Below are 27725 nucleotides of genomic sequence, written 5' to 3'. Positions count from 1 at the left end.
CTCATCTTCAGGGCTTCTGATCTAACTGAAGACAGGCCCAGATATGGGTATTTTAAAGTTCCCCAGGGTCGGCCGGGCACAGTGGCTCAGGCCTGTAATCCCAGCACTTTGGGAGGCCGAGGCGGGTGGATCACTTAAGGTCAGGAGTTTGAGACCAGCCTGGTCAACATGGTGAGAACTTGTCTCTACTAAAAATACAAAAAATTGCCAGGCGTGGTGGCGAGTAGCCTCCCCAGCTACTGGGGAGACTGAGGCAGAAAGGAGAATCACTTGAACCTGGGAGGCAGAGGTTGCAGTGAGCCAAGATCGCGCCACTTCACTCCAGTCTGGGAGACAGAATGAGACCCTGTCTCAAAAAAAAAAAAAAGAAAAAAAGAAAAAAAAGCTCCCCAGGGTTCTAAGATGTAGCCAGGGTTGAGAACCACTAGGCTAATCTGCAACTCCAGACAAAGGCGGAAGGGGGGCAGGGAACCCACAAAACAGAAACCAAACTCTAAGAAAACGGGTAAGAGGAAAGTGAAACCGACTCTGGGCACCAGGCTGGAATGGAAGAGCATCTGTGGCTAAAAACAGGGCAGCCGCACCCCCCTGGAGGAACCAGGGCCCTGCCCACCCACTTGCTTGCTGCGGCTTCAACACGCTGGCCTCCTCGGGGTCCCCTCTCCCCACTACCCCTGGAGAGGCGTGAATGTACCTATTTGTTTACCATCAGTCTGCTGCCCCTTCCCCCAACTGGACTGAGCTAGGGAGCAGAGGCTCTGTGTGTTTTCTCTGAGTTCACCTTCCCCAAGCCCAGAGCAGGGCCCGGCACAGAGTAGGTACTCAGCAAATATTTCTTGAGTGACTGAATGAAGACAATGTATGATCCCATGAATCCTGCAGGGCCATGCTTTACCCTGCCCTATGTGATGCTGTCCCCTGAGGTTGGGCCCATTCTGACAATGTCTTTTCTGTTTTTTCAACACAGGGTGCATAGAATCAAGCAGACATGCGCCTTAGTTTGGGGCACTCCATGCAGCCATAGGGCCCTGAAAAGCTTCCCTTTTCTTTTCTTTTTTGTTTGTTTGTTTGTTTGTTTGAGATGGAGTTTCGTTCCTGTTGCCCAGGTTGGAGTCCCATGGCACGATCTTGGCTCACCGCAACCTCCGCCTCCCGGGTTCAAGCAATTCTCCTGCCTCAGCCTCCCGAGTAGCTGGGATTACAGGCATGCGCCACCATGTCCGGCTAATTTTGTATTTTTAGTAGAGATGGGGTGTCTCCATGATGGTCAGGCTGGTCTGGAACTCCCAACCTCAGGTGATCCGCCCACCTTGGCTGCCCAAAGTGCTGGGATTACAGGCTTGAGCCACCACACCCAGCCTAAAGCTTCCCCTTTCAATGGACTCTCCCCTTCCCTGCATCCCAGTCCTACTCCTGCTGCTTTGAGCCACGACATCCCCTTGTCTGTTTAGTACATGCCCTTCCAATCTGCTTTCCAGGATCTTATTTCCATAAATGTCCATAACAGCAGGCACCATTTATTGGGTGCTTACTGTATGCCAGGCACTGTGCTGAGCGACTTACATATCATATCTCATGAAACCATCACATGTCCCTGAAGGAGGTGCTATTATGATCCCCGTTTTACAGATTAGAAAATAGAGATAGGCTGGGCAAGGTGGCTCACGCCTGTAATCCCAGCACTTTGGGGGGCCGAGGCGGGCGGATCACCTGAAGTCAGGAGTTTGAAACCAGCCTGACCAACATGAAGAAACCCTGTCTCTACTAAAAACAATACAAAATTAGCCGGGTGTGGTGGCGTATGCCTGTAATCCCAGCTACTCGGGAGGCTGAAGCAGGAGAATCGCTTGAACCTGAGAGGCGGAGGTTGTGGTGAGCCGAGATAGCACCACTGCTCTCCAGCCTGGGTGACAAGAGAGAAACTCCGCCTCAAAAAAAGAAAAGAAAACAGAGGTAGAGGCCAGGTGGGGTGGCTCATGCCTGTAATCCCAGCACTTTGGGAAGCTGAGGAGGGTGGATCACTTGAGGTCAGGAGTTTGAGACCAGCCTGGGCAACAAAGTGAGATCCCATGTCTCAAAAAATATATATATACATATATATATGTGTGTACATATATATACACACACATACACACACACACATATATATACACACATATATAGGCACACACATATACATATAAAAATACATATATTTGTGTATATAGAGACATATACATATATATTTGTATCTATACGGTCTCGTCCATGTTCTGGAGCCGAGCATCCCTGTAACTTGGAAGGAATGGCCTCAGGTGTGGCGGGATAGGTTGTTAACTTCACCTCTCCATGCCCTGTTCCACACACACACCTGTGTTTAAGTCCAGACCCACCCTAATCAAAGGCCCTGTACCAAAAAGGGGAGGGACCAGACCCGTGGTGGAGGGTCTGGATCACAAGTACCATTCCCTTGCCTTTCTTTTATTTATTTATAAAAGAAAACAGGCCAGGCACGGTGGCTCATGCCTGTAATCCCAGCACTTTGGGAGGCCGAGGCTGACGGATCACTTGAGATCAGGAATTTGAGACCAGCCTGGCCAACATGGCTAAACCCTGTCTCTACTAAAAACACAAAAATTAGCCGGGCATGGCGGCACGCACCTGTAGTCCCAGCTACTCAGGAGGTTGAGGCAGGAGAATCGCTTGAACCTGGGAGGTGGAGGTTGCAGTGAGCCAAGACTGCTCCACTGCACTCCAGCCTGGGCGACAGAGAGAGAGATTGTCTCAAAAAAATGAAAAGAAAAAGAAAAAAGAAAACAGAGGTAGAGACAGCTTAAAGTCACTTGTCCAAGGTAACAGAGTAAGTGGCAGAAATGCCGTATAAAGGATTCTCATGTATGTCTGCGTTTTTTGTTTCTTGTTCTCTATTTGACTATTTGTCACTCAGCACTCTGCATTTAAGCTCTATCCCTGTTGCCTTCTGCCCAGGCAGTTCTCCATTGATGGACACTGATTTTTCTGCCACCTCAAACCATGCCTAGGACACATCTCTCTGCTTGTGAGAGGTTTAACCCAGGAGTGGACCTGCCAGGGGACACACAACTGCCAAAATGCCCTTTCAAACATCCCCACTAACTTACATGCCTACCAAATGCCAGAATTCCATTCACTGGCATCCTCACTAGCAACAGGTTTTATCCGGTTTTCAGTTTTATCTGATGGGCATTGTGTGGGATCCTGTTTTTCTTTGCAGCTCTCTGATTACTGGCAAAAATCTTAGTCCTTATTCCATTTTTTAAAACGACATTTGAACACACAATAGGAAAAATGGGATTTCAGAATAGAAATAGTTCACTCTGATGATGGGAGGTGGCAGTCACATAGCCCTGTCACTCTCCGGATACAAGGAGCCCCCCGAGAAAGTCCAGACCCACTCTCATCAAAGGCCCTGCACCAAAGAGGGGAGGGACCAGGCCCCTGGTAGATTGTCCAGAGCACGGGTGCCAGTCCCCTGCCTCAGGGCCCATAGCCTAATTGAGTGGGAATTTGGTCGTGTCTATGTCCTGGAGCCAAGTGTCCCTGCTCCAGAGAAAGGGATGGCCCTCGGGTGTGTATTGGGGGTTAAGCTGTTAACTCCACCTCTCCAAGTCCTGGACGACATACATGCCTAGACCAAACCCCTGCCTACCTCTGGGCCACTATGTCACTTCTAGAGCCTCAGTCTCCTCATCCATAAGGTGGGGGTATGAGGACATCTCTCCTAGAGGAGGGCTCGGGGGTGCAGGGAAACTGATGGTGGCCTCACACCTGACAAGCACAGAGCAACGTGCTGCTGCAACGCCTCCTGCCTCCCATCAACCACGGGGGAGGCATCCGCAGACCTATTTCATGGCTGTGGAGGGCAAAGCCCAGAGAGGGAAAGGGGAAATCAAGAGATCCCATAGCACGTCAGCTCCCTGACCAGGCCAGGGATGAGGCTGGGAGAGGACGAGCAGGTTCACTCAGTCATTCAACTCTCCTTCCCCTTCTGCCTCCTTCCCCAGCCTCTGGGGCCCCAGGTCCAGCAGCACCCAGGGCAGGGGTGTGGTAGGTGCCCCATGCTTCTTCCTTCTCCCTTTGCACCAAGCTTCTCAGGCCCAAGGGGCTGTCAGTGCCACAAGGACACCTCCCAGCTAAGGTGGGCTGAGTCCAGAGCTGGTGGCCCCTGAGTCAGGCCCTGGGTGGTGGCTGACGCAGTGGGAGCAGAGGAGACCACAGGGAAACTGACAGATTAAATCCAATTCTCCCAGACTTTGCCCTTGCTGTTCCCTCTCCCTGGAGCCCTCTCCCCACGGAAGGCTGTGAGCCCGCCCACTCCATGCTCACTGTCACCAGAGTCTTGCCTGAACTCAGTTAAGAATGCTGGCCCCCCAAAGCTGGGTGTTGTGGCTCATGCCTGTAATCCCAGCACTTTGGGAGGCCGAGGCAGGCACATCACAAAGTCAGGAGTTTGAGACCAGCCTGGCCAATATGGTGAAACCTCGTCTCTACTAAAAATACAAAAAATTAGCTGGGCGTGGTGGCAGGCACCTGTAATCCCAGCTACTCGGGAGGCTGAGGCAGGAGAATCGCTTGAACCCAGGAAGTGGAGATTGCAGTGAGCTGAGATCGTGCCACTGCACTCCAGCCTGGGAGACACAGCGAGACTCCGTCTCTAAAAAAAAAAAAAAAAAGGATGCAGGCCTCCCTTATCACCCTGGATCGCCTGTTTTGCTTTATTTATTTTCCCCACAGCATGGATCACCATCCGACATGCGATTCATCTTTTATTTTTTGAGACGAAGTTTCGCTTTTGTTGCCCAGGCTGGAGTGCAATGGCACAATCTTGGCTCACTGCAACCTCCGCCTCCCGGGTCCAAGCGATTCTCCTGCCTCAGCCTCCCGTGTAGCTGGGATTACAGGCGTCTGCCACCACACCCGGCTAATTTTTTGTATTTTTAGTACAGACGAGGTTTCACCATGTTGGTCAGGCTGGTCTCGAACTCTTGACCTCAGGCGATCCACCCGTCTCACCCTCCCAAAGTGCTGGGATTACAGGTGTGAGCCACCATGACTGGCATGATACATCTTTATTGTCTGTCTCACCACTTCAGAAATAAACTCCAAGAACATTTTGTTCACTTGATCGCTACTACCTAGAACAGTGTCTGGTGTGCAATAGGGTCTCAATAGATAGATAAAGATTAAGTAAAACTTTTAGGAAGGTATCAAAGAAGTGCACCAATCTTCAGTGTACAGCTTAATCGTTTTATACATAACCCAGGTCAAGTTGAAGAACACTTCCAGAAGGCTCCCTGTACCCGACCCCCAGCCAATCCCCACCCCTTATGGATGTACTGACTTCCATCACTGTTGATTAGTTTTTCCTGTTCCTGAGCTTGGCTTAAATGAATTACATCAGGGTGTACTCTTTTTCATTTTTACTAATTAATTTTTGAGGCAGGGTCTCACTCTGTCGCCCAGGCTGGAGTGCAGTGGAGCAATCTCAGCTCACTGCAGCCTCTACCTCCTGGGTTAAAGCCATCCTCCCACCTCAGCCTCCTGAGTAGCTGGGATTATAGGCGGGCCCCACTATGCCCAGCTAATGTCTGTATTTTTCTGTAGAGACAGGGTCTCACTATGTTACCTAAGCTGGTCTTGAACTCCTGAGCTCAAGCGATCTGCCCACCTTGGCTTCCCAAAGTGCTGGGACTACAAGTGTGAGCCACTGCACCTGGCCCATGTACTTTTTTGTTTGGCTTCTTTTGCTCCACGTAAGGTCTACAAGATCTACCCAGGGAGTTGCATTGACAGTGGTTCCTTTTACTGCTGTTCTATCATACAACATTCCACCATTTACTTATTCCTGCTCTTGCTGATGGGCATTTGAGCTGTTTCCAGTTTGGGGCTACAGGCTTGTACATGTCTTCCAGTGGCCCTATGCCACCATCTCTCTTGGTAGCTACCTAGGAGTGGAATTGCTGGGTCATAGGGGAAGTGTGTGTGTTAATAAGAAACTGCTGAACGGTTTTCCGAAGTGGTTGTACTTACTGACATTTCCACCAGCTGTGTATGAGTGCCGTGTAGCCTCTTCCTCTGCAGTACTTGGGGATGTCAGACTCTTTTTCTTTGAGATGGAGTTTTGCTCCTGTTGCCCAGGCTGGAGTGCAGTGGTGCAATCATGGCTCACTGCTGCCTGGAACTCCTGTCCCAGCCTCCCAAGCAGCTGGAACCATAGGCATATGCCACCATGCCAGCAGACCTTTAAAACTGAATGCCTTGCGGGCTCCAGGAGGCCCCATGTGGGCCACCTGCGCCCTCCCCAGCCTCACCGAGTACCTCTGCTTTACAGGCAGCACAGCTCCTGGGTCTGCTCTGAAAGGTTATCTGGATGAACAGACTGTGTCACTGCCCTGCTCAAAAACCACCTTCAAGACCCTCCACCATCTCTCTATGTTTGCTCCTTTCCACCTGCCCTTCACTACACTGGACACAGGACTCTACAGTTTCCAAGACCTGTACCTGTTCCCTGTCCCACTTATCCCTTCACAGCAGACTACAGGGGGCAGAACAGTCTCCATCAGAGAGACAAGGGGCTGCTCAGAGCAGGGCAGCAGCCCGCCGGGGGTCAGCAGCCCACCGGGGGTCAGCAGCACCACGTGGCAAGTGTCCCCCGCATGCCCAGCACTTGCAAGCTCTCCCAACTCCCTTCTGTCCGCAGCTGTGGTGCACTCAGCAGACCCAGGGCCTCCAGCCTCCCCGGATGACCCCTCTCTCCCCTCGCTGCCACCTCACCTGCCACTGACGCGGCCCCAGCTCCCAGTTTCTTTTTTTTTTTTTTTTGACATGGAGTCTCACTCTGCTGCCCAGGTTGGAGTGCAGTGGCGTGATCTCAGCTCACTGCCACCTCCACCTCCCAGGTTCAAGCGATTCTCCTGCCTCAGCCTCCCTAGTAGCTGGGATTACAGGCATGCACCACCACACCCAGCTAATTTTTGTATTTTTAGTAGAGACGGGGTTTCACCATGTTGGCCAGGCTGGTCTTGAACTCTTGACCTCAGGTGATCTGCCCGCCTCAGCCTCCCAAAGTGTTGGGATTACAGGCGTGAGCCACCGCACCCGGCCCCAGCTCCCAGTTTCATGTGGGGAAGGCAGGTGGGTGGATGGGATGGCAACCATGACGTCCTGCGCAGAGCCTGGAACAGACACTGAGATTCCCTTTTATTTTTTTTTTTAATAAATTTAAGAACAGCTCTACCTTCTCTCCTCCCCCCAGAGCAACTAAAACCAACTAAAAGGGGCTATGGTCTGGGGGGCAGAAGGCGCTAGGAGTCGTAATCTTCTTCGTCCTCTTCATCAGGTGCTGAGGGGCCCGGGGGCGCTGGGGGCAAAGGCAGAGTAGAGGCGAAGGGCAGGAAGGGTGTCGGGGGGCTGCAGGGCAGAAGGCAGGAGAGAGTCAGGCCTGAGCCCCACCGTGCCCTCCACAGGGGCAGCTGCCAAGACCCTCCCTCCCCCATCTGACCCTCCCACCACCACCCTCCAGATCCATGCGGCCAAGGCCCAGGGCAGCTCACGCAGGGCAGGCCCAGGCCCCACCCACGGGCCCTGGCAGGGTGGAGCAGGATCTTTCGGGAGAACAGTCTCCTGCCTTCAAGCCCTCCTCAGTTATTCTCCTTCCACCCCACAAATCTGCCACAATCAACAAGACCAAGGGGCCAGGGAGAACAAGAGGGGTAAGTTGGCTCTGGGGAGTCTGCCAGCACCCTCCCATGCCTCTGGGCTGCTCACCTCTGAAAGTGGGCAGAGGGGTGGCTGGCCTGGGGTGGGGGTTGTGATGTCTCCTCTTCCCCATCAGTATCTGTGTCCTCAGATTCATCCTGTGAGCACCGCAGAGGTCAGAGTTGACAAGAAAAGACACGAACCCATCACTGGGAGTGGCAGGGACAGCAGTAGACCCTCATAGCCCCAATTTACAAATAAACCAGTGAGCAAACAGGTTGCAGAAAAGGATGAGAGCTGGCCTCCTGCCAGTTCAGCCTGGGGCGAGGCTGCCTGTCCCATCACCAAGGGCAGGGCGAAGGGCTGGGGCCTCACTCACCTCCTGCTCCGAGTCTGTCCCGGACAGCTTCTTGTCCTTGCTTTTCGTTCCCATCCCACCGTTCTTCCGGCCGCCGCTGCCTGGCTTCCGGCCCCTTTGGGAAGGTACAGTCCATCTGCCCGGAGTGCTCCCTACTCCTTGGCCACCCCCAAGCCCTGTGGCCTTGGCCTTCCCCACTGTATGCCAGGCCCTGGCCCCACCTGCGGGCGCCCTTGTCCCCATCCATGTGGTTGTCTTCCCCGTCCCCCTGCATGTCGGGAACAGATGCCACCAGGTCCTTCAAGAAGTCAAACTGCTGCTCCAGCTCGATGCACTGCTTCCTGGAAGAGGTGAGGAGGGGCTGGCACTCAAGAGGGGCCCAGACACCCAAACCCGCAGTGGGTGGCAGCAAGGGGCCCCAGATGTCAGGCTGGAGCCCGGGCCGATCTCCGCTCCCGGGCCTGCCCTGCTTTACTCAGGTGGCTCCCTCTGCCTGGAAGCCCAGCCTCTCCTCTGCCAGTCTGTGGCCTTGCTGGTGTCCCGGCTGCCGCCCACCTCCCTCGCCACCCAGGCTCTGCCTTCCTCAGTGTGTGAACTCCCCGCGCCAAACCCGCCGGCCCCTCCCGGCTCCTCGCCGCTCACAGGTGGGATGTGGTCATGGTCTTCGCGTTCCGCGACTGGGTCACCTGGCAGGCCTTCTTCAACAGCGACTCTAGGAAGAGCTCGAGCGCCCGGGCTGAGGAGCGTCAAGGAGAACTCCGGGGCAGGAGAGGGCGACCCGCTGCCTCCCTCCCCCACGCCCCTCGACCCGGTCCGCCCCCGGCAGGATACAGATGATGACAGGCACCGCCGCCGCCACCTTCCCAATCTCTTCGTCCGTCTGCATGATCTTCTTGATCCGCGCCTGCGGGTGGGGGAGCAGAGTTCAGACCCCGTCGCCACCGTCCCCTAAGGGGGTGCTGGGGGAGGAAGGGGCATCCCCGGAGAAAGGGGGCGGGGGACACGGACGCGGGGAGGGCATGGAGGGGGCGGGGCGTCCAGGCCCCCGAACACCGCGGCGCGCCCGCCTGCCCAGCGGGAACTGGGCCCAAGCCACCCGGGAGCCGGGCCCACTCCTGCCGGGCTCTGCCACGTGCTCACCGGCGGGAACCGCGCGTTGTACTTCTTCTTCTTGCTCGGCATCTCGGGGCCTCTCTCGCCGCGTCGGGTCCAGCGCCGCCGCCCGCAGCCTCCCGGCTCCCGGGCCTGCTCGCCGCCCGCCCGTCGCGGTTCCCCTGGGTCCTGGTGCCGCCCGCTCCGCCCCCGCCGTTTCCCGCGGAGTCCTAGCGCCGCCGGTTAAGACGCCGCTCGCAGGGCCCTAGTGCCCTCCTCTTGAAGCCTCCTGGCCGGTGCGCGTCCCTCCCCAGTCTGGACCGCCGCTCCCGCCCGCCCCCAAGGCCAGAAGAGCGAACGTTGGCCCCGCCCCCCGCGGCCCGCCCCTCCCGGGGTTCCCGCGATGGCCCCGCCCCCGAGTCAGCACCTCCCCGTCGGCCCCGCCCCTTCCCCTGCCGGCCCCGCCCCACAGCGCGGCCGCTGCGGCCGCTGAGGCCCGCGGCTCCGCCCTGTGGCTGCGCCTGTCTATAAAGTTGTTGTTGAGGTGGCGCGGCGCTAAGATGGCGGCGGCGGCGGCGGCGGCCGTGGCGGGGGTGGGGCGCGGTGGCGGTGGCGCGGAGCCACGGCAGGAGCGGAGCCGGGCCCGGGGCTGGGCCGGCGTCGAACGCAGCGAAGGCCGGAGGTGACTGCGGGCGGCGGGAGGGGCAGGGCAGGGCCGGGGCGGGAGCACAGCTCGGGCCCGTGGGCGTTAATGGCGGCGGGCGCGGCACGGCCGGAGCCTGGCTCTCCTGCAGGCTCTAACAAGCCCTGGTTCGAGTCTGGGAACCGCCCCATTGGCCTCGGAACGGCCTGTAACCTCTCTGGACTTCAGCGTCCTCGTCTGTAAGTGGGCCCGATAACGCCTGCCTGGGAGGCCTGGCCTTACAGAGCCGGCCTCGGGAGCTGCGCGAACGTGCGCTTCTTTGCGTTCCTCTATTAAATGCCAGCGCACCGGATACCTGCCAGGAAAAGGGGGCCTTGGCAGGGCCGGGAGGTGTAGCTGGGGCTGGTTGCTCCCACGCCTGGATTCACCCTTCGGCCCTGCCACGCACTGCAGGTGTGACCTTGGGCAAGTCCTTTTTCTCAGCCTCAGTTTCCTTTTCTGTAAGTCAAGGAGAATAGTAATAACTGCAGCAACCCTTCTGGAGCGCTGACTCCTCAGGCATCTAATTTTCATAGCAGATCTACGGGACAGGAACAGTTGTTATCCCATTGTAAAGATGAGGCAACTGAGGCGCATCGACAGTAACTCTTACTCAAGGCCACAGTTTAATCCAGTGCCTGGCATCTGTAGTTATTGTCTCAGACCCTGCCCTGACTCGGTTCCCTCACAGCAGGATGGAACCAGGTGAGGAGCTGGAAGAGGAGGGCTCTCCAGGTGGCCGTGAGGATGGCTTCACCGCCGAGCACCTGGCTGCAGAGGCCATGGCAGCTGACATGGACCCCTGGCTAGTGTTTGATGCCCGCACAACGCCTGCCACTGAGCTGGATGCCTGGCTGGCCAAGTACCCACCATCCCAAGTTACCCGCTATGGGGACCCCGGTTCACCCAACTCAGAGCCTGTGGGCTGGATTGCAGTGTATGGGCAGGGCTACAGCCCCAACTCCGGGGACGTGCAGGGCCTGCAGGCAGCCTGGGAAGCTCTGCAGACCAGTGGGCGGCCCATCACACCGGGTACCCTGCGCCAGCTCGCCATCACCCACCACGTGCTCTCGGGCAAGTGGCTTATGCATCTGGCACCGGGCTTCAAGCTGGACCACGCCTGGGCTGGCATTGCCCGGGCCGTGGTTGAAGGCCAGCTTCAGGTGGCCAAGGTGAGCCCACGTGCCAAGGAGGGTGGGCGCCAGGTCATCTGTGTTTACACGGACGACTTCACGGACCGCTTGGGTGTACTGGAGGCGGATTCAGCCATCCGTGCAGCGGGCATTAAGTGCCTGCTCACCTACAAGCCTGATGTCTACACCTACCTGGGCATCTACCGGGCCAATCGCTGGCACCTCTGCCCCACTCTCTATGAGAGCCGTTTCCAGCTTGGGGGTAGTGCCCGTGGCTCCCGAGTGCTTGACCGTGCCAACAACGTGGAACTGACCTAGGGGGGCCAAATTGGGGAGACTGCCCACTCCCCCCTCCATGCTGGGGTTGGATCCTCCTGTCTTCCTCCTTGTCCTATGAAGGCCACACCCCCCAGCTCTGGGGACTCCTAGGTCACTTGGGAACTACCTGCATCTTCAGTCCCCTTGAACTTCTGCCCTCTGTTCAGGGCTGACACAAGCCCCACAGGCTGGGGGGCTCCGGTTCCCTGAGGGATGAGCCTTCAGCCTCCCTTTGTAATGCTGCTCCTCTCCACTGCCCAGCACCATGAGTTGGGTGCAGACACCTAGAAGGAGAGACTTCTTGGAACGCTCATCCCCCGCTATACCTCCCCTTCCTCCTGCATCTCCCCTTCTTTCCTTCCCCCTCAGGAGAGAGAAAACTTAGTGCTTCCAGCCCTTCTTGGAGCCTTCATGGTCCAGGGGTAGGGGCCCCACTGGCCTGAGCATGCCATTTTGAGGGGAGGGTAGTTGTGCCTACTTATCCCCTGGCAGAGGGGATGCCAGGACCATGGACATGAGGCTTGCCCATCCCTGCCAACTTACACAGCCTGTACCACTGTCCCCCCTTCCTTGGCTACTTTGACATGTGCCTGCTCCTGGCATTTCAATAAAACCCGGCTTGGGTCTGTGTCTTGAGTGTTTTTTAAAATACTGTCTTGGTGGTTACCTGCTTTCGTTGCTAGGGAGGGGCAGGGCCAGGAGAGACTACCCCCTTGACCCGGCCAGGCCCCCATAGCTGCCCCTAGCAATAAGTTGTGCCTCACTGCTGAGGTTAGGCACTGTCTCTAAGAACCTCTGCAAAACCAGCCCCACTTCCCCTCCATCCGTAATCAGTTTCTCAGAGATTTCCCATAATTCCAGGGGTTGACCCCTCCAGGAACGTCTAAGGGGCCACTGCTAGCCCTCAGGGTGCATTTGTGCATATTAGAGAAAGGTACCAAGTCCAAGCAGTCCTAGGCCGGGGTACGCGGTTTGGGGAGCAGAGGATGGGATGGGCTGGATTTCAGCACCTTAGGCTAGACATCCTTGTGCAGTGAACAACCTGCACAACCCTAGGTAGTCTCTCTGGAAGCCCTGCCATTCATACTCTCCTCTCCTACCACCCTGACCATCATAGGGCCCACTAGACAGTTTGCAAAGCGCTTTCATATGCATTAAATTTAATTCTCCCAACCCCTTTGGGAGATGTTGGCCCCATTCTGTGGTCAAGGAAATTGAAGCCAAGAGGGGAAAGGAGTTTTCTCAGTGTCATGCGATGAGGTGGGCAGAGCTAGGACTTGCATCCCAGTCCCTTCCTCGGGCAATGAGGTCCCTGAGCCCACTGAGGAAAACAGGGAGCTTTTCATAACTCACAAAGCATGTTCACTTACGTGATCTCACTGGGCCGCCCCACTCTGCTGGGACTTGCTGTAGCCTTGGAGCCTGGCTCCTGCACCCCGCCACCTCTCCAGCCCCGTGCCTGGCCCTGGCCTTGATTGGGGGCCAGGGTGTCTGGCAGGGAGCCCCTTGGGACACAGCTCTCGTGCCGTGCCGGGACTGACTCAGCCTCCAGCAGTCTCACCGAATCGGAATTTAGAGCAGGGGAGCGGAGATGCCACCGGGCTGACTGGGTGGAAGTGGCTGAGTCATGAGATGCTGGCTCAGTGCTCTCTCCAGCTTCCTCCCCACCCTGAGCTTCCCCAGGGCTGAGTCCCCCTCTGCCCAGCCTTGGGAAGTCCCCAGAGCTGGGTGGTCTCCGAGTTGGAGCCTGGTGCTCTGCCTCCCTCGGGCTGCCAGGGCCTTGCACTCCACCAAAGTGGGCCAAGGTACCTCATGGGTCCCACAGAGATGCCCAAGTGGGGTCAACAGCACTGGCTTCTTCCATAGCTGAGTGTGTCACACACACAGCCCCTCTTCATCCCTGTGCCTTGCCCCAGCCCACAACTCACCGTCTCCCAAGCCACTTCCACCCTCCTCTTGTCCCCGCTCCGTTCTCCACAGCCAGGTCAACAGATCCCTCCTGCAGAGTGGCCATGTCCTGCCAAAAGCCCTTCCATGGCTCCCCACAGCCTGCAGGATGGAGTCTGCTCTCCTGCACTGGCCGTGACCTGGTTCCCATAGACTTCCCCGCTTCCCTCGGGCACCCCTTTCTGCCCATGCTCACCCAGCTGGAGCCATCTGTTACTTCCTTCACCCCCTGGTGCACAGCCCTGGGCCTCGGGCTGTTCCTTCTGCTCGAGCACCTGCCTTGCAGCCCTGATGGCCAGAGTGTGTGGTGACTTGTGTAATGGCTTGATGTCTGTCTCCTGCTGGCCCCTAAGCCCCATGCCCACACTGTGCTCTGTGAAGGCAGGAACAGTGGCTAGATCTCAGCCCTGTTCCCAGAGCCTACCACAGTGCTTGGCCAGAACAACGACTCCGTAAGTTATTACATGAATGAATGAGGTAATTGGCGACTCCAGCCCCTGCTGGACCCTTCTGCCTCATCCCATCTCCATTCCCTGCTTTGCACTCCTTGTCCAAGAACGTTGAGCTGCGTGTGACTTTCTTGTACACATGGTGGCCTTTCTCACTTTCACGCCTTTGCTGGTGCCGTAGCCTCTGCTTAGCTTACCCTCGCCCACTTCCCTGGCTGGCGCCACGTTGCAGACCCACTGGCTCAGGTGTAATTCTTCAGGATGCTTCCGGATCCTTCCTCACCCCAAGTGTTGCAGGCATGTCCCCTAGGCTCCCACAGCTCCCGCCTGCCTGCTGCTCTCATCTGTATGTAAGATCCCTTCAGACAGTGACAATGCTTTATCCTCCAGCATCCGGCATAGGGCCCAACCTAGTGCAGATGCCAAATTAACATTTTTTTTTTTTTGAGATGAGTCTCGCTTTATCACCCAGGCTGGAGTGCAGTGGCGCAATCTCGGCTCATTGCAAGCTCCGGCTCCCGGGTTCACTCCATTCTGTTGCCTCAGCCTCCCGAGCAGCTGGGACTACAAGGTGCCCGCCACCACGCCTGGCTAATTTTTTGGATGTTCAGTAGAGATGGGGTTTCACCGTGTTAGCCAGGATGGTCTCGATCTCCTGACCTCATGATCCTCCCGCCTCGGCCTCCCAAAGTGCTGGGATTACAGGCGTGAGCCACCGCGGCCGGCCTCTTTTTTGAGATAGGGTCTTGCTATGCTGCCCAGGCTGGAATGCGATGACATGATCATGGCTCACTGCAGCTTTGAACTCCTGGGCGCAAGCGATCCTACCACCTCAGCCTCCCAAAGTGCTGGAATTACAAATATGAGCCCCTGCACTCAGCCAAACATTCTTGAATAAATGAGTGAGTGAATGAAAGCCACTCTCTCTCTGGGCCTCAGTTTCCTCATTCTATTCATGACAAGAGCCAGGCACGGTGCTAAGCGTTTACCTACATGATTTCATCTAAGTTTCACCTGGCTCTATTATTATTGCCATTTTGCAAAAGAGGAAACTGAGACCCAGACAAGTTCAATAATTGGCTCAAGGTTATGAAGAAAGTAAGTGGCAGAGCCAAGATTCAAACCCAGTTCATCCAACTCCAGGGCACCTTATGCACTGTTGAACCTCCACTTTATCGAAGTGCTGTTGGGGTGGGGGCTGCAAGGATAGATGAGACCCTGCAGGACTCAGCATCTGGTTTCTAAAGCACACAGGAGGTTGGGTCCTCAGAACCACCTGGGAGAGAAGCTGGGCCAAAACTGAGAGTCTATTTTTTTTTTTTTAGACGGAGTTTCACTCTGTCACTCAGGCTGGAGTACAGTGGCATGATCTCGGTTCACTGCAACCTCCGCCTCCTGGGTTGCCATGTTGGCCAGTCTGGTCTCGAACGCCTGACCTCAGGTGATCCGCCCACCTTTGCCTCCCAAAGTGCTGGGATTAGAGGTATGAGCCATTATGCCCCGCCGAAAGTCCCTTTTTTTACCGATGAAAAAACTGAGGCCTAGAGAGTGCAATGACGAAGCCTACTGGGCAGGAAGGGTCTCCAGGTCTACAGTGGGAACTGGCCCCCTGCCAGGTCAATGGCCCCCCAAAACCCACCCCCTCAGGCTGGCAGTGAGTTCTGCCCTATTTGGCTGGCCTGTTCCTACCTTGGAGCAGGGAAGTGCCTTTGGCCCAGGGGGTGCTGGGCAAACTTGGACAAGTCCTGTGCTCTGCTCCTTTTATAAAACCAGGGGAAGGGTGACTGAGGCCAGGAAAAAGCCCCAACTCCTTTTCCTCCCACTCCCACATACTGCAAACCCCAGACCCCAGGGAGGAGGCTCCAGAGGGTCTGTCCAGGGAAGGAGAGAATCTGCCCGACTTGACTCCTGTTGGAACTTGGGCAGACTCAAAGAGGACTAAAACAGCTGAGTCAAGAGAACGCTTCAGCAAGAGCTTTGGCAGGATTTGGGGGATTTTCCCAGTGGGGCAGCTGCGCCCCACTCTTGCCGGCTGGGAGGGGCTCTGGCAGGGATGAGGATCAGGTCACACAGCTGATTCATCTGAGGAGGGAAACTCCCCACTCCTCTGACACACATCCCCCAGGCACCTAGGGGTAAACCTGAGGACACCCAGCTGAGAAGCCCACCAACCCCATCTTCCTTTGCTTACTGGGAAAAAATCCCAGGGAGATAGAGTCAGGCAGGGTGGCAGGGCTTAGGGGGCAACTTCCCAGGGAATAAAACCAGAGACTGAGACCAGAGAGAAACCTGTACAAGGGCCACCTCCCTCAGGGGTCCTTTCTTACCCATTTTATAGATAAGAAAACAGGCTCAAATAGTAAAAGTAAACATGGGCTGGGCATGGTGGCTCATATTTATAGTAACAGCAATTTGGGAGGCCGAGGCGGAAGGATTGCTTCAGCCCAGGAGTTCAAGACCAGCCTGGGCAACACAATGAGACCCCCATCTCTACCAAAAAAAAAAAAAAAAAAGCCAGGTATGGTGGCACATTCCTATACTCCCAGCACTCAGGAGGCTATTAGGGAGGAGGGTCGCTTGAGCCTGGGAGGTCAAGGCTTCAGTGAGCCATGATCCAGCTACTGCACTCCAGCCTGGCAAACCTGTCTAGAAAAAGAAAAACAGCAAACCTGTATACAGACCTACTCTGTGCCAGGCACACCCTAAGCAGTTCAGCTGCATTAACTCATTATGGTCCTCACAGACCTCCTCCTTTTACTCATGAGGGAACTGAGGCAGAAAGAGGTTAAATAACTTGGCAACTTGGCCAAGGTCAAGGCTAGAAATGCTCTGGGGACCTCCACAACTCCCAAGAGTCCTTGTACACACCCGTGTCCCAGGGAGCTCTGTCCCTGGTCCCTGAGCAGCTCTGGCCCCGAGGGTAAAGACCTTTCTGGGGCGAAGCCCAAATTGGCTTCTGGGGATCTTCCCTCCTCCGACCGAGTCTGCCCTCTGTAGACCCTAGAGGACGGGGAGGTCACCCACCAGGGCCCAGTTCCTCTTCCTCCCTCCCCTAAAGGGAGAAAGCTGGTTCAGGCAGGAAAATCAGCCCAACCCTCAGAGGCCAGGAGAGGGCAGCGAAGCATTCCCGCCAAAATCTCTCCAGGGCTTTGACTCTTTTCCAAACCCCAATCCATCCTTTCCTCCCGAGTCAGAGCCTCCCTTTCCGGTCTGCCACCCGCCCCTCACAACACATGACACAAACTCACACACAGATACATGCGTGCGTGCTGGGACTCCAGCCTCCAGGCTCCTGCCCTCTGGGAACCTGGTCTGGCCCCACTTACCTCTGCCATGGGCCAGGGGCCTGATGGGTGTTGGAGGTGGGCTGAGTTGTGGCTGTTTGAGATGGGGCCAGGGACCCCACACAGGCGAGCTCTGTCCCATTTGGCTCCCACTCCCAGGCTGTGTGACTCACCCCCTCACCCCCCATGACTCAGTTTACACCGGTGCCCGGAGGTCCTCCCAGGATGGGTGGGGTGGTTTATTGGCCCAGCCCAGGCCTGCCAGCCTTTCATCCAGGACGGGCGTTTCATCCCACTCCTGGCCCAGAGCAGGAGCTGGCACCCATGGGGTACTGGGTCGGGGTATGGCCCAGGTCTGAGGAGTTAGGGGGAGCCTGAGAACTGGGTGACAGGCTCCAACTGTCTGAGCCTGGGTCTGCAGGAAGCAGGAGCCACTCCAAGAAACTTAAGGGGCCAGGCTAAGCAGGCAAATCCATCCTGGGCACTGACAGCAGAGCCCCTGATATCTCCCTTCAGAGGAAATTGCCCGTAAAGCACAAAATAAAACAGCAAGAAAATTCTCACTAACATTTATCCATCGCTTACTGTACTGGTGCCATGCTCAGCACTGTCCATGCCATGGCTCAGTCACTCCCCAGCAACCGTGAAAAGCAGGTCCGATTATTAGCATCTTTTTTTTTTCTTTTGAGACGGAGTTTCGCTCTTGTTGCCCAGGCTGGAGTGCAATGGCACGATCTTGGCTCACCACAACCTCTGCCTCCCAGGTTCAAGCAATTCTCCTGCCTCAGCCTCTCGAGTAGCTGGGATTACAGGCATTCACCACCATGCCCGGCTAAGTTTGTATTTTTAGTAGACACAGGGTTTCTCCATGCTAGTCAGGCTGGTCTTGAACTCCTGACCTCAGGTGATCCACCTGCCTCAGCCTCCCAAAGTGCTGGAATTACAGGCGTGAGCCACTGCGCCTGGCCAGCATCCTCTTTACAAGTGAGGGAACTGAGGCATTGAGAAGTTAGGGAATTGCCCAGCTTGCCCAGCCAGGAAGTGGCTGAACTGAAATTCAAACCCAAGTCGTCCACTGCCAGATCCCCTCCTGCCTGCTGAGTGATGCTTACTGAAGCAAGGATGAGGGGCCCAAAACCTCATCCCGGCCCCTGCCATCTCCATGGAAACCTCTAGTTTCAGGGTCCACAGTATGTAAACCACTCATCTGCAGGAAGGGGAAACTGAGGCTCCCAGAGGGAAAGAGACTGACCCGAAGTCACATAATGAAGTCACTTGAACTACTAGAGACCCAGCCAGGCTGGAGCTGTGTCTTTGATGTTCACCCCACAGTCCTGGGCTGGAGGGGTGGCTGGTGAGGGAAAGCGAGCCCCACTTTTTATGAATATTTTTCCCAAATCCTCGTCTGCCAGGAAGTCTTCTCCTACCCACCCCCACCACAGGTGGAAAGAACTCTTCCTTTTGGGGCTCCAGTAATGGCCCTGGCACTCTCTGGCTCCTCCCCCCAGCACTGTCTCCTTAGCACCAGGACTAGTCTGAGTGTCTGACCACCTCTCTGGGCTGAAAGTGCCTTGCGGCCAGGAGGACGAAGTTGCTGGGGTTTTTTTGTTTTTTGTTTTTCTGGAGTCGGAGTCTCACTCTATTGGCCAGGCTGGAGTGCAATGGCGCGATCTCAGCTCACTGCAACCTCTGCCTCCCGGGTTCAAGTGATTCTCCTGCCTCAGCATCTCAAGTAGCTGGGATTACAGGAGTGCACCACCACACCCAGCTAATGTTTGTATTTTTAGTAGGGACAGGGTTTCACCATGTTGACCAGGCTGGTCTTGAACTCCTGACCTCCGGTGATCTGCCCCCTTTGGCCTCCCAAAGTGCTGGGATTACAGGCATGAGACACCACCCCTGGCCTGGGACCAAGTCTTTTTTTTTTTTTTTGAGACAGAGTTTTGCTCTGTCACCCAGGCTGGAGTGCAGTGGCACGATCTTGGCTCACTGCAAGCTCCACTTCCCGTGTTCACACCATTCTCCTGCCTCAGCCTCCCGAGTAGCTGGAACTACAGGCACCCGCCACCACGCGCCTGGGACTAAGTCTTTAATCGTCCCTACCTCCCCGACATCTGGCTCCATTCAACTTTTAGTTCAGTTAATTCAGAAGAATGGATAAAGAAACTGTGGTACATCCATGCAGTGGGGGACAGAAGCCAGGCACAAAAGAGCACGCGGTGAACGATTCCATTGATGTGAAATTCTGCAACAGACAAAAGTAATCGATGACAACAGAAATGAGTTAAGTGATTTCCTGGGGTGGGGGAATCGACTGCAAAGAGGCAGGAGAGAACTTTCTAGGGGGATGGAAATGTTCTGTATCTGGATTGGAACGTGGCTACGCAGGTGTATACACATAACCAGCACATTAACAAAGTGTGCATTCTACCGAATGTAAGATAAACCACGACGAGGTAGCTTTTGTTTTCGTTTTCGTGAGACAGGCTCTCACTCTGTTGCCCAGGCTGGAGTGCAGTGGTCTGATCACAGCTCACTGCAGCTTCCAACTCCTGGGCTTAAGTGATCCTCCTGCCTTAGCCTCTCGAAGTGCTAGGATTATAAGCGTGTGCCACAGTGCTCAGCTAGATTTTTCTTTCCAGCGAGGCAGATCTACATATACTCAGTGAAAGATCTTCCAAGATTATTATTAGAAAACCAAAAAGCAAGAAACGATACGGGATGTAGATAGGCTACCTTCTGGGTGAAAAAATACGCAAGAAACTGGTTACAGTGGAGGGGAGGCTTCTCACTCTACCCCTTTTGTAGCTTTTGAATTTTAAAATATCTTAATGTATTACCTGGTCGAAAAAGAAATGCAATTAAATGTTTTAGTGTAAAGCAACATAAAAAATAAAAACGACGTTTTAAAATAATTTCTTCTCCAGGCCAGGTGTGGTGGCTCACTCCTATAATCCTAGCAGTTTGGGAGGTCAAGGTGGGCTGATTGCCTGAGCTCACGAGTTCAAGACCACCGTGGGCAACATGGTGAAACCCTGTCTCTACTAAAATACAAAAAAGTATCCGGGCATGGTGGCAGGTGCCTGCAGTCCCAGCTACTCAGGAAGCTGAGGCAGGAGAACTGCTTGAACCCAGGAGGAAGAGGTTGTAGTAAGTCAAAATCGCACCACTGCTCTCTAGCCTGGGCGACAGAGCAAGACTTCATCTCAAATAATAAATAAATAAAATATGATAAAATAAAATAATTTATTTTCCACATCCCCTTTTTATGGCCATCAACTTGGTAGATGCAGATACAGATATACATATAGATACACGCATATCCGTCTCCAAAATGCAATACCTTCAAACATTATTCCAAGCAGGGAGAATAAAAGGTAATGTCCTTCATTGCACGAGGGGACTGTATTGCTCATTGCATAAGGGATTAAGGGATTTCACTTGGGTTGGGGCTCGCAGAAGACCTTGCTGAGGAAATGGTGGGGAAACTGAAAGCTGCAGCATAAGAGTCAGCCAGGTGAGGGGACAAGGGAGGTCCCTTGGGCAGAGGGAGCCATCTGTGCAAAGGTGAGGGGCTCCGTCTGGCAGCCTGGGACTGAGAGTGAGCAGGTGCCTATGAAGGAAAATCCTGTGCATTCGGCCAAGCCCCGCCAGATTTACGAGGATCTGGATTCCGCACACTTTCCTTCCTCACTGTGTGGCTTTTAGCAAGTTGCTTAATCTCTCTGTGCTTCCATTTCCTGATCCATAAAATGGGTGTATTATACCATCTCTCTCACAGGGTTGCTGTGAGGATTAAACATGTTACTTGGAATGGCATCTGGTTCATCAGTGTTCAATGAGCAAGAGCCACTAGTGTTATCCTCTTAGCCCCTCAAGTCTCCCAGGCAGCACGTAACCTAAAAGAACACAGGGTACGCCAAGCACCCTTAGCCCATCCCTTCCCAGGCTTCAGGCCTTCCTGGGTAGCAATTCCAGCTGGGGTAGGTCCAAGTCTGAGGGTGAAATGCTCAGACTCTTAAAATTTTTTGTGATTAAAACTATCCCTAAGGCTGCAGGGTGGGAAGTGCTGAGCTGGAAGCTGTGGAGAGCATTCAGGGGAGAGAGGAAGGGGCCAGGACCAAGGAAAATAAATGTTTGTAGAAGTGAATTAAAATGCCATCTCCAGGTCAGGTGCCATGGCTCATGCCTATAATCCCAGCACTTTGGGAGGCCAGGGTGGGCGGATGACCTGAGGTCAGGAGTTCGAGACCAGCCTGCCCAACATGATGAAACCCCGTCTCCACAAAATACAAAAATTAGATGGCCATTGTGGCAGGCGCCTGTAGTCCCAGCTACTTGGGAGGCTGAGGCAGGAGAATCATTTGAGCCTGGGGGGCAGAGGTTGTAGTAAGCTGAGATCACACCACTGCCCTCCAGCCTGGGTGACAGAGCAAGACCCTGTTTCAAAAAAAAAAAAAAAAAAAGTCATCTCCAGATGTGGAGCAACTGGAACTGTTACCCATTGAACAACATGGGTGGGATGCAAAATGGTACATCCATGTTGGAGCACTGGTGGAGAGTACATTCGATTCAAGCTGAATGTACACCAACCATATGACCCAATAATTCCTCCCAACCCAGGCACATAGCCAAGAGAAATGAATACAACTGGCTCCCAAAAGGATGTATCAAGGATATTCATGGCAGCCTTATTCATAATAGTCCAAAACTGGAAGGCCCCCCAAGTCATCAGCAGGGGAATGGAGAATGGAGAGACCGATTGTGGAATATTTGTGCAATGGGATGCAGCAACAGAAAAGACCAAGCTACCAGGTCACTCAGTAACACAGATGAATCCCGCAGACATGTTGACTAAAAGAAGCCAGGACCAAAAGAGAACGTGCCATATGGTCAAATGTATATGAAGTTGAAGAACAGGCAAAACTAATCTATGATGACAGAAGTCAGAATAGTGGCTACTTATGGGTGGGGAGTGTGACTCAGAGGAGCCTTCCGAGTTGCTAAAAACATCATCATGATAAGGGTGGTAGTTACATGGGTTTATATAGATGCAGAAGTCATTGAGGCTGGGCTTGGTGGTTCATACTTGTAATCCCAATACTTTGAGAGACGGAGGCGGGAGGATCACTTAAGCTCAGGAGTTTGAGATTAGCTTGGGCAACAGCCTCCTCTCTACTAATAAATAAATAAATAAATAATTGGCATGGTGGCAGACCTGTAGTCCCAGCTACTTGGGAGGCTGAGGTTAGGGGATAGCTTGAGCCCAGGAGTACAAGGTTGCAGTTAGCTATGATTGCACCACTGTGCTCCAGCCTGGGAGATAGAGTGAGACCTTGTCTTAAAAATAATAATAAATAAGGCGGGGTGCGGAGGCTCACACCTGTAATCCCAGCACTTTGGGAGGCTGAGGCAGGTAGATCACCTGAGGTCAGGAGTTAGAGACCAGCTTGACCAATAAGGTGAAACCCCATCTCTACTAAAAATGCAAAAATTAGCCGGGTGTGGTGGCGCATGCCTGTAGTCCCAGCTACTCAGGAGGCTGAGACAAGAGTATTTATTGAACCCGGGAGGCGGAGGTTGCAGTGAGCTGAGATCATGCCACTGCACTCTAGCCTGGGCAACAGAGCAAGACTGCGTCTCAAAATAATAATAATAAAAAATAATGAATTATTTTAAAGTCATTAAGCTGAACACACTGATGTGTGCACTTTACTGTATGTGTGCTTGACTTCAATTTAGTCAACAATTTAAATCTAAGAGCTAAAACTATAAACTCTTAGAAGAAATCATAGGAGTAAATCTTCATGACCTCGAATTTGGCAATGGATTTTTACATTAGACACCCAAAGCATGAGCAACAACAACAAAAAGATACATTGGGCTTCAATAAAAAATAGTAATGCATCATTTTGTGCATCAGAGAACATTTTTCCGTCTCCAAAAAAAAAAAGAGAACATTTTCAAGAATGTGAAAAGACAACCTACAGAATAAAAGAAAATGTTTGCAAATCATATAACTGATAAAGGTTTAGTATCCAGAATATAAAAAGAACAACTCAACATTAAAAAAAAAAAAAATTGGCCAGGCGCAGTGGCTCACGCCTGTAAACCCAGCACTTTGGGAGGCTGAGGCGGTTGGATCACCTGAGGTTGAGAGTTCGAGACCAGCCTGTCCAACATGGAGAAACCTTGTCTCTACTAAAAATACAAAATTAGCCAGGTGTGGTGGCGCGTGACTGTAATCCCAGCTACTCAGGAGGCTGAGGCAGGAGAATCGCTTGAACCAGGGAGGCGGAGATTGTGGTGAGCTGAGATTGCACCATTGTACTCCAGCCTGGGTGACAAGAGCAAAACTCCATCTCAAAAAAAGAAAAAAAATTAAGAATGGGCAATGTGCCAGGTGTGGTGGCGGGCGCCTATAATCCCAGCACTTTGGGAGGCTGAGGTGGGAGGATCACTTGAGGTCAGGGGTTAGAGACCAGCCTGGCCAGCATGGTGAAACCCTGTCTCTACTAAAAGTACAAAAATTACCCGGGCATGGTGGCACATGCCTGTAATCCCAGCTACTTGGGAAACTGAGGCAGGAGACTCAATTGAACCCAGGAGGTGGAGGCTGCAGTGAGCCAAGATCGTACCACTGCACTCCAGTCTGGGCAATGGTTGGGAGCAGTGGCTCACACCTGTCATTTCAGCGTGAAGAGAGGTGAAGGCAGGAGAAGTACTTGAGGCCAGGAATTTGAGACTAGCCTGGGCAATATATTGAGACCTCATTTCTACAAAAAAAAAAAAAAAAAGTAAAGATTTGAATAGATATCTGTCCAAAAAACGCCCAGCGCGGTGGCTCATGCCTGTAATCCCAGCACTTTGGGAGGCCAAGGCAGGCGGATCACAAGGTCAAGAGATCGAGAGCATCTTGGCTAACACAGTGAAACCCCTTCTCTACTAAAAGTACAAAAAATTAGCCGGGCGTGGTGGCAGGCGCCTGTAGTCCCAGCTACTCAGGAGGCTGAGGAAGGAGAATGGCGTGAACCCGGGAGGCGGAGCTTGCAGTGAGCGGAGATCGCGCCACTGCACTCCAGCCTGGGCGACAGAGCAAGACTCCATCTCAAAAATAAATAAATAAATGGTTATATATACTCAGCCATAGAAATGAGCAAAGTACTGATACATACTATAACATGAATGAGCCTTGAAAATGTTATGCTGTGAACCCAGGAGGTGGAGCTTGCAGTGAGCAGAGATCATGCCACTGCATTCCAGCCTGGGCCACAGTGCGAAACTCCGTTTTTAAAAAAAATAATAATACTAAGAAAAGAAAATGTTATGCTGGCCCAGTGCGGTGGCTCACACCTGGAATCCCAGCAGTTTGGGAGGCTGAGGCAGGAGGATCACTTGAGGAGTGCAGGAGGCCGAGGCTGCGGTGAGCCAAGATTGGGCCACTGCACTCCAGTATGGGCAACAGCAAGACTCCATCTAAAAAAAAAAAAAAAAGAAGAAGAAGAAAGAAAGAAAAAAAAAGCAAAAATGTTATGCTAAGTAAAGAAGTCAGACAAAAGACCACATAATATATGAATGAGTCCATTTATTTGAAATGCCCAGAATGGGCAAATCCATAGCGACAGGAAGCAAATTAGTGGATACCAGGGGATGAGGGAAGGGGGAAATAGGGAGTAATTACTTCATAGGTGTGGGGTGTTTTCTGGAGTGATGAAGTTTTGAAACTAAAGAAAGGTGGTGGTTGTACAACATTGTGAATGTAATAAATGGCATTGAAGTGTACACTTTAAAGTAGTTAATTGTTTGTTACATGAATTTAATCTCAAGTAAAAATGTAAACTTCAAAGGCCAGGTGCGGTGGCTCACACCTGTAATCCTAGCACTTTGTGAGACCGAGGCAGGCAGATTGCTTGAGCCAAAAAAAATTAGCTGGGCGTAGTGGCACGCGCCTGTAGCCCCAGCTACTCGGGAGACTGAGGAGGGAGGATCGCTTCAGCCCAGAAGGTTGAGGCTGCAGTGAGCTGCGATCCTGCCATTGCACTCCAGCCTAGGCATCTAGGCATCAGAGTGAGATCCTATCTCAAACCAAACAAACAAACAAACAAACAAAAACAACATAGACTTCAATTAAAGAGTGAATAGAAACTGATAAACATAAATATCACCTCCAATGCCCTGGCCATGCTGAGAATGCACAGGGTGCCAAGCCTCCTCTCCTTCACTGCAGCCCCAAAAGGCAGGGATTCTCTGGGGCTCAGAGATGGGAAGGGACTGAGCCAGTCTTACAGAGCCACCAAGGCACAGTGGCAGGGTCCCTCAGGCCTCCCTGCCCCCAAACTTCCAGCGATGGCTGTGGCCCCCTGGGGTTCTCTCCTGGCCTCCCTGGGTGGAAGCTGGTGAGGTCAGAGGCCAGGAACGTTTCTGCAGCCACAAGGCGGGGGTTAGTGACTGAGGAGGTTGGAATGTGCTCCCTCTGAAAGGACCTCCTTGTGGCTCCAGTGACGGTTAGAGCAGGAAGAGACTTTCAAAGTCATGTAACACACACACACACACCCCAGACCTGAATCCCTGCTCCCTCAGCTGCCCCAGTGGCCCCAGCATCCACTGCTTGGGGGCGGTGGGGTCAGGTGCAGGGTGATGTTTCTGGAGCAGGCAAGTGAATGCAGTCAAGGCTGACCTGTGTCACCCCTCCCCTGGTTACCTGTGTCACACTTGACCTGTCCAGCTTGGGCTCTGCCAAGAAGTTGAGGTATCAGTGTGTGTGCACATGTGCTGTGTGAGTGCCTTCATGTGTGATCAGTCCCAAAGGCTCTCACCCCTGGGTTGTTTTGTTTTGTTTTGTTTTTTGACGGAGTCTTACTCTGTTGCCCATGCTGGAGTGCAATGGCGCAATCTTGGCTCACTGCAACCTCCGCCTCCCGGGTTCAAGCGATTCTCCTGCCTCAGCCTCCCAAGCAGCTGGGACTACAGGCATGGGCCACCATGCCCAGCTAACTTTTGTATTTTTGGTAAAGACGGGGTTTCTCCATGTTAGTCAGGCTGGTCTCGAAATCCTGACCTCGTGATCCACCTGCCTCAGCCTCCCAAAGTGCTGGGATTACAGGCGTGAGCCACGGCACCCAGCCTATGTGTCAAATTCTTACTATGTGCTGTGCTAAGCATGTGACATTACTTGTGTCCTCCAACAACCCTTGAGATAGTTATCATTATGTCTCCATTTCACAGATAATGAAAGAGGCTCTGAGAGATTGTGTGCCTCACCTAGGTCACACAACTGGTGAGCAGCCTAACCACATTCAAACCCAGACCCCAGAGCTGTCTGACCCCAGCACGGGTGTTCTGTCCACGGATCATACTGCCTCAAAAACACTCTCCTCTCCTTTCTCTCTCTCTTTCTCTCTCTCTCTCTCTCTCTCTCACACACACACACACACACACACACAGAGATGATGATGACAAGAGGGTGACAAGCATTGGGTCGCTCAAAGGCAAAGGAGAGGCACCAGGCTGGTAACCACTTTCTGAGTGCATAACACTTTATAGCTTACAAAGCATTTTCACATCTGTGATCTCACTTGATCCCACAACAGCTCTGTGAGATCAGCAGGGAGGCCCAGTTGAAGGAAGGTGACCTGCCCAGTGTCACACAGACAGAAAATGGTAGCTCTGGGACTAGAACCCCAGGGGCAATCTGGACTTCCTGGCTCTAAGTCCTGAGTGCACCCACAGGCTTCTGGCCTGTGTTCCCAAGGAAAGTAGCCCAGAGGGCAAAGCTAGAGCTGATGAAATGGAAGGACCGATGGAGAAGCAGGAGAGCCCAGCCCTCTCTTGATCTATTTACTTTGAGTCTTGCTCTGTCCCCCAGGCTGGACTGCAGTGGCGCAGTCACAGCTCACCGCAGCCTCAACCTCCCTGGCTTAAGCCATCCTCCCGCCTCAGCCTCCAGAACAGCTGGGACCACAAGGCAGGCGTACCACCATGTCCAGAAAATTTTATAATTTTTTGTAGAGATGGGGTCTCAAATGGTTCTTTCTGCCTTGGCCTTCCAAAGTGCTAGGATTACAAGCATGAGCCACCACACCTGGCCCCAGCCCTCTTTCTGTAGTCGTGTGACAACTGACAGCTCAGTACTCCATCTGGGCCTCAGTTTCCTCATCTATGATGGAAGTAATCAGAGAGAAGCTTTGGGATGGTGCCCAGCACTAACATTCTGGATGTGCGACAAGGTGTCTGTGAAGGTGTAAGGGCTTTGAAAATCTTGGCTGAGCCTGGGCTTGGAGTGCCCACGGCTGTGACTTGGCAACCTGTGCCAGCTACTCACTTAGCGACTTCAAGCAATTCATTTCAGCATCTCCCAGCCTCAGTTTCCCCATCTGTAAAACAGAGATGAGGATGATACCTGCCTCACATTCACTCACCTTTGACATACTCTCCAAACAAGTCTGGTGGCCACAAGCCTCCGAAAGGCACTGACCGTAATGAAGATGGCGTTTATCAGACCTCAGGACACCTGTAGTGGCCCTGAATTAAAACTCGTTATAGCTCCTGAAATTATCCTGAGTAATACTATTATATTGCATTTTATGTGGGGTTAGTTCAAAGCATTACCTTATCGCAAACATTTAAAATATACCACCCAGCCTGGGCAATACGGCGAGACCCAATCCCTACAAAAAACACAAAAATTACCTGGGTGTGGTGACGCGCGCCTGTAGTCCCACTTACTTGGAGGGGGCGCTGAGGCAG

At 53.4% G+C, this 27725-nt stretch overlaps 2 protein-coding genes across 3 annotated transcripts, besides 15 other annotated features; one reads left to right on the top strand and one right to left on the bottom strand.

Annotated features, from left to right (window-relative positions):
• Positions 321-886: a transcriptional cis regulatory region, noted in NCBI's record as "candidate enhancer chr11.3343 targeted for multiplex CRISPR interference". NCBI's record gives its function as "positively regulates DRAP1 gene expression in K562 cells {active_cell/tissue: K562}" and the evidence as "EXISTENCE:mutant phenotype evidence [ECO:0000015][PMID:30612741]".
• Positions 346-640: an enhancer, noted in NCBI's record as "tiled region #4290; K562 Activating DNase matched - State 5:Enh". NCBI's record gives its function as "activates a minimal TATA promoter and a strong SV40 promoter by Sharpr-MPRA in K562 cells {active_cell/tissue: K562}" and the evidence as "EXISTENCE:reporter gene assay evidence [ECO:0000049][PMID:27701403]".
• Positions 355-784: an enhancer, noted in NCBI's record as "active region_5023". NCBI's record gives its function as "activates an Ori minimal core promoter by ATAC-STARR-seq in GM12878 lymphoblastoid cells {active_cell/tissue: GM12878}" and the evidence as "EXISTENCE:reporter gene assay evidence [ECO:0000049][PMID:35858748]".
• On the bottom strand, positions 7195-9332 carry DRAP1 (DR1 associated protein 1). The gene is made up of 7 exons (NM_006442.4): positions 9215-9332; positions 8906-8978; positions 8717-8810; positions 8296-8415; positions 8096-8189; positions 7786-7874; positions 7195-7428 (listed from the first exon to the last, which is right to left on the bottom strand). The coding sequence occupies exons 1-7, from the start codon at positions 9254-9256 to the stop codon at positions 7323-7325; spliced, it is 618 nt and encodes a 205-aa protein (NP_006433.2). The 5' UTR covers positions 9257-9332; the 3' UTR covers positions 7195-7322.
• Positions 8739-9659: an enhancer, noted in NCBI's record as "H3K27ac-H3K4me1 hESC enhancer chr11:65686570-65687490 (GRCh37/hg19 assembly coordinates)". NCBI's record gives its function as "activates a minimal SCP1, AML or CMV promoter by ChIP-STARR-seq in primed H9 embryonic stem cells {active_cell/tissue: H9 hESC(primed)}" and the evidence as "EXISTENCE:reporter gene assay evidence [ECO:0000049][PMID:30033119]".
• Positions 8739-10579: a biological region, named in NCBI's record as "H3K27ac-H3K4me1 hESC enhancers GRCh37_chr11:65685650-65686569 and GRCh37_chr11:65686570-65687490".
• Positions 8873-9942: a silencer, noted in NCBI's record as "silent region_3568". NCBI's record gives its function as "represses an Ori minimal core promoter by ATAC-STARR-seq in GM12878 lymphoblastoid cells {active_cell/tissue: GM12878}" and the evidence as "EXISTENCE:reporter gene assay evidence [ECO:0000049][PMID:35858748]".
• Positions 9660-10579: an enhancer, noted in NCBI's record as "H3K27ac-H3K4me1 hESC enhancer chr11:65685650-65686569 (GRCh37/hg19 assembly coordinates)". NCBI's record gives its function as "activates a minimal SCP1, AML or CMV promoter by ChIP-STARR-seq in primed H9 embryonic stem cells {active_cell/tissue: H9 hESC(primed)}" and the evidence as "EXISTENCE:reporter gene assay evidence [ECO:0000049][PMID:30033119]".
• Positions 9696-11948, top strand: C11orf68 (chromosome 11 open reading frame 68). Of its 2 annotated transcripts, none has more exons than NM_031450.4 (2): positions 9696-9848; positions 10543-11948. In NM_031450.4, exons 1-2 carry the CDS (start codon positions 9727-9729, stop codon positions 11297-11299), a joined length of 879 nt encoding a protein of 292 aa, NP_113638.2. In that variant the 5' UTR covers positions 9696-9726; the 3' UTR covers positions 11300-11948. The 2 variants fall into 2 exon arrangements, with proteins under 2 accessions (NP_113638.2, NP_001129107.1); NM_001135635.2 differs by having other exon boundaries at positions 10540-11948.
• Positions 12139-12698: an enhancer, noted in NCBI's record as "H3K27ac-H3K4me1 hESC enhancer chr11:65683531-65684090 (GRCh37/hg19 assembly coordinates)". NCBI's record gives its function as "activates a minimal SCP1, AML or CMV promoter by ChIP-STARR-seq in naive H9 embryonic stem cells {active_cell/tissue: H9 hESC(naive)}" and the evidence as "EXISTENCE:reporter gene assay evidence [ECO:0000049][PMID:30033119]".
• Positions 12139-13498: a biological region, named in NCBI's record as "P300/CBP strongly-dependent group 1 enhancer GRCh37_chr11:65682731-65683930".
• Positions 12299-13498: an enhancer, noted in NCBI's record as "P300/CBP strongly-dependent group 1 enhancer chr11:65682731-65683930 (GRCh37/hg19 assembly coordinates)". NCBI's record gives its function as "activates an origin of replication core promoter dependent on BRD2, BRD4, P300/CBP, MED14 and CDK7 cofactors, with strong dependence on P300/CBP, by STARR-seq in HCT116 cells {active_cell/tissue: HCT116}" and the evidence as "EXISTENCE:reporter gene assay evidence [ECO:0000049][PMID:35650434]".
• Positions 12699-13258: an enhancer, noted in NCBI's record as "H3K27ac-H3K4me1 hESC enhancer chr11:65682971-65683530 (GRCh37/hg19 assembly coordinates)". NCBI's record gives its function as "activates a minimal SCP1, AML or CMV promoter by ChIP-STARR-seq in naive H9 embryonic stem cells {active_cell/tissue: H9 hESC(naive)}" and the evidence as "EXISTENCE:reporter gene assay evidence [ECO:0000049][PMID:30033119]".
• Positions 12851-12995: an enhancer, noted in NCBI's record as "145 bp enhancer 146/147 fragment used in the MPRA reporter construct; PK_construct_3364". NCBI's record gives its function as "activates an SV40 promoter by MPRA in HepG2 cells {active_cell/tissue: HepG2}" and the evidence as "EXISTENCE:reporter gene assay evidence [ECO:0000049][PMID:23512712]".
• Positions 12917-12928: a transcriptional cis regulatory region, noted in NCBI's record as "NFE2L2 motif; enhancer activity is reduced when this motif is scrambled". NCBI's record gives its function as "necessary for full MPRA enhancer 146/147 activity {active_cell/tissue: HepG2}" and the evidence as "EXISTENCE:site-directed mutagenesis evidence [ECO:0005528][PMID:23512712]".
• Positions 15579-15848: an enhancer, noted in NCBI's record as "active region_5022". NCBI's record gives its function as "activates an Ori minimal core promoter by ATAC-STARR-seq in GM12878 lymphoblastoid cells {active_cell/tissue: GM12878}" and the evidence as "EXISTENCE:reporter gene assay evidence [ECO:0000049][PMID:35858748]".
• Positions 25252-25632: a transcriptional cis regulatory region, noted in NCBI's record as "candidate enhancer chr11.3338 targeted for multiplex CRISPR interference". NCBI's record gives its function as "positively regulates FOSL1 gene expression in K562 cells {active_cell/tissue: K562}" and the evidence as "EXISTENCE:mutant phenotype evidence [ECO:0000015][PMID:30612741]".

This window comes from Homo sapiens, chromosome 11 (assembly GCF_000001405.40).
Source record: "Homo sapiens chromosome 11, GRCh38.p14 Primary Assembly".
Classification (NCBI taxonomy): Eukaryota; Metazoa; Chordata; class Mammalia; order Primates; family Hominidae; genus Homo; species Homo sapiens.
This window is presented reverse-complemented; position numbering and strand designations above follow the sequence as displayed.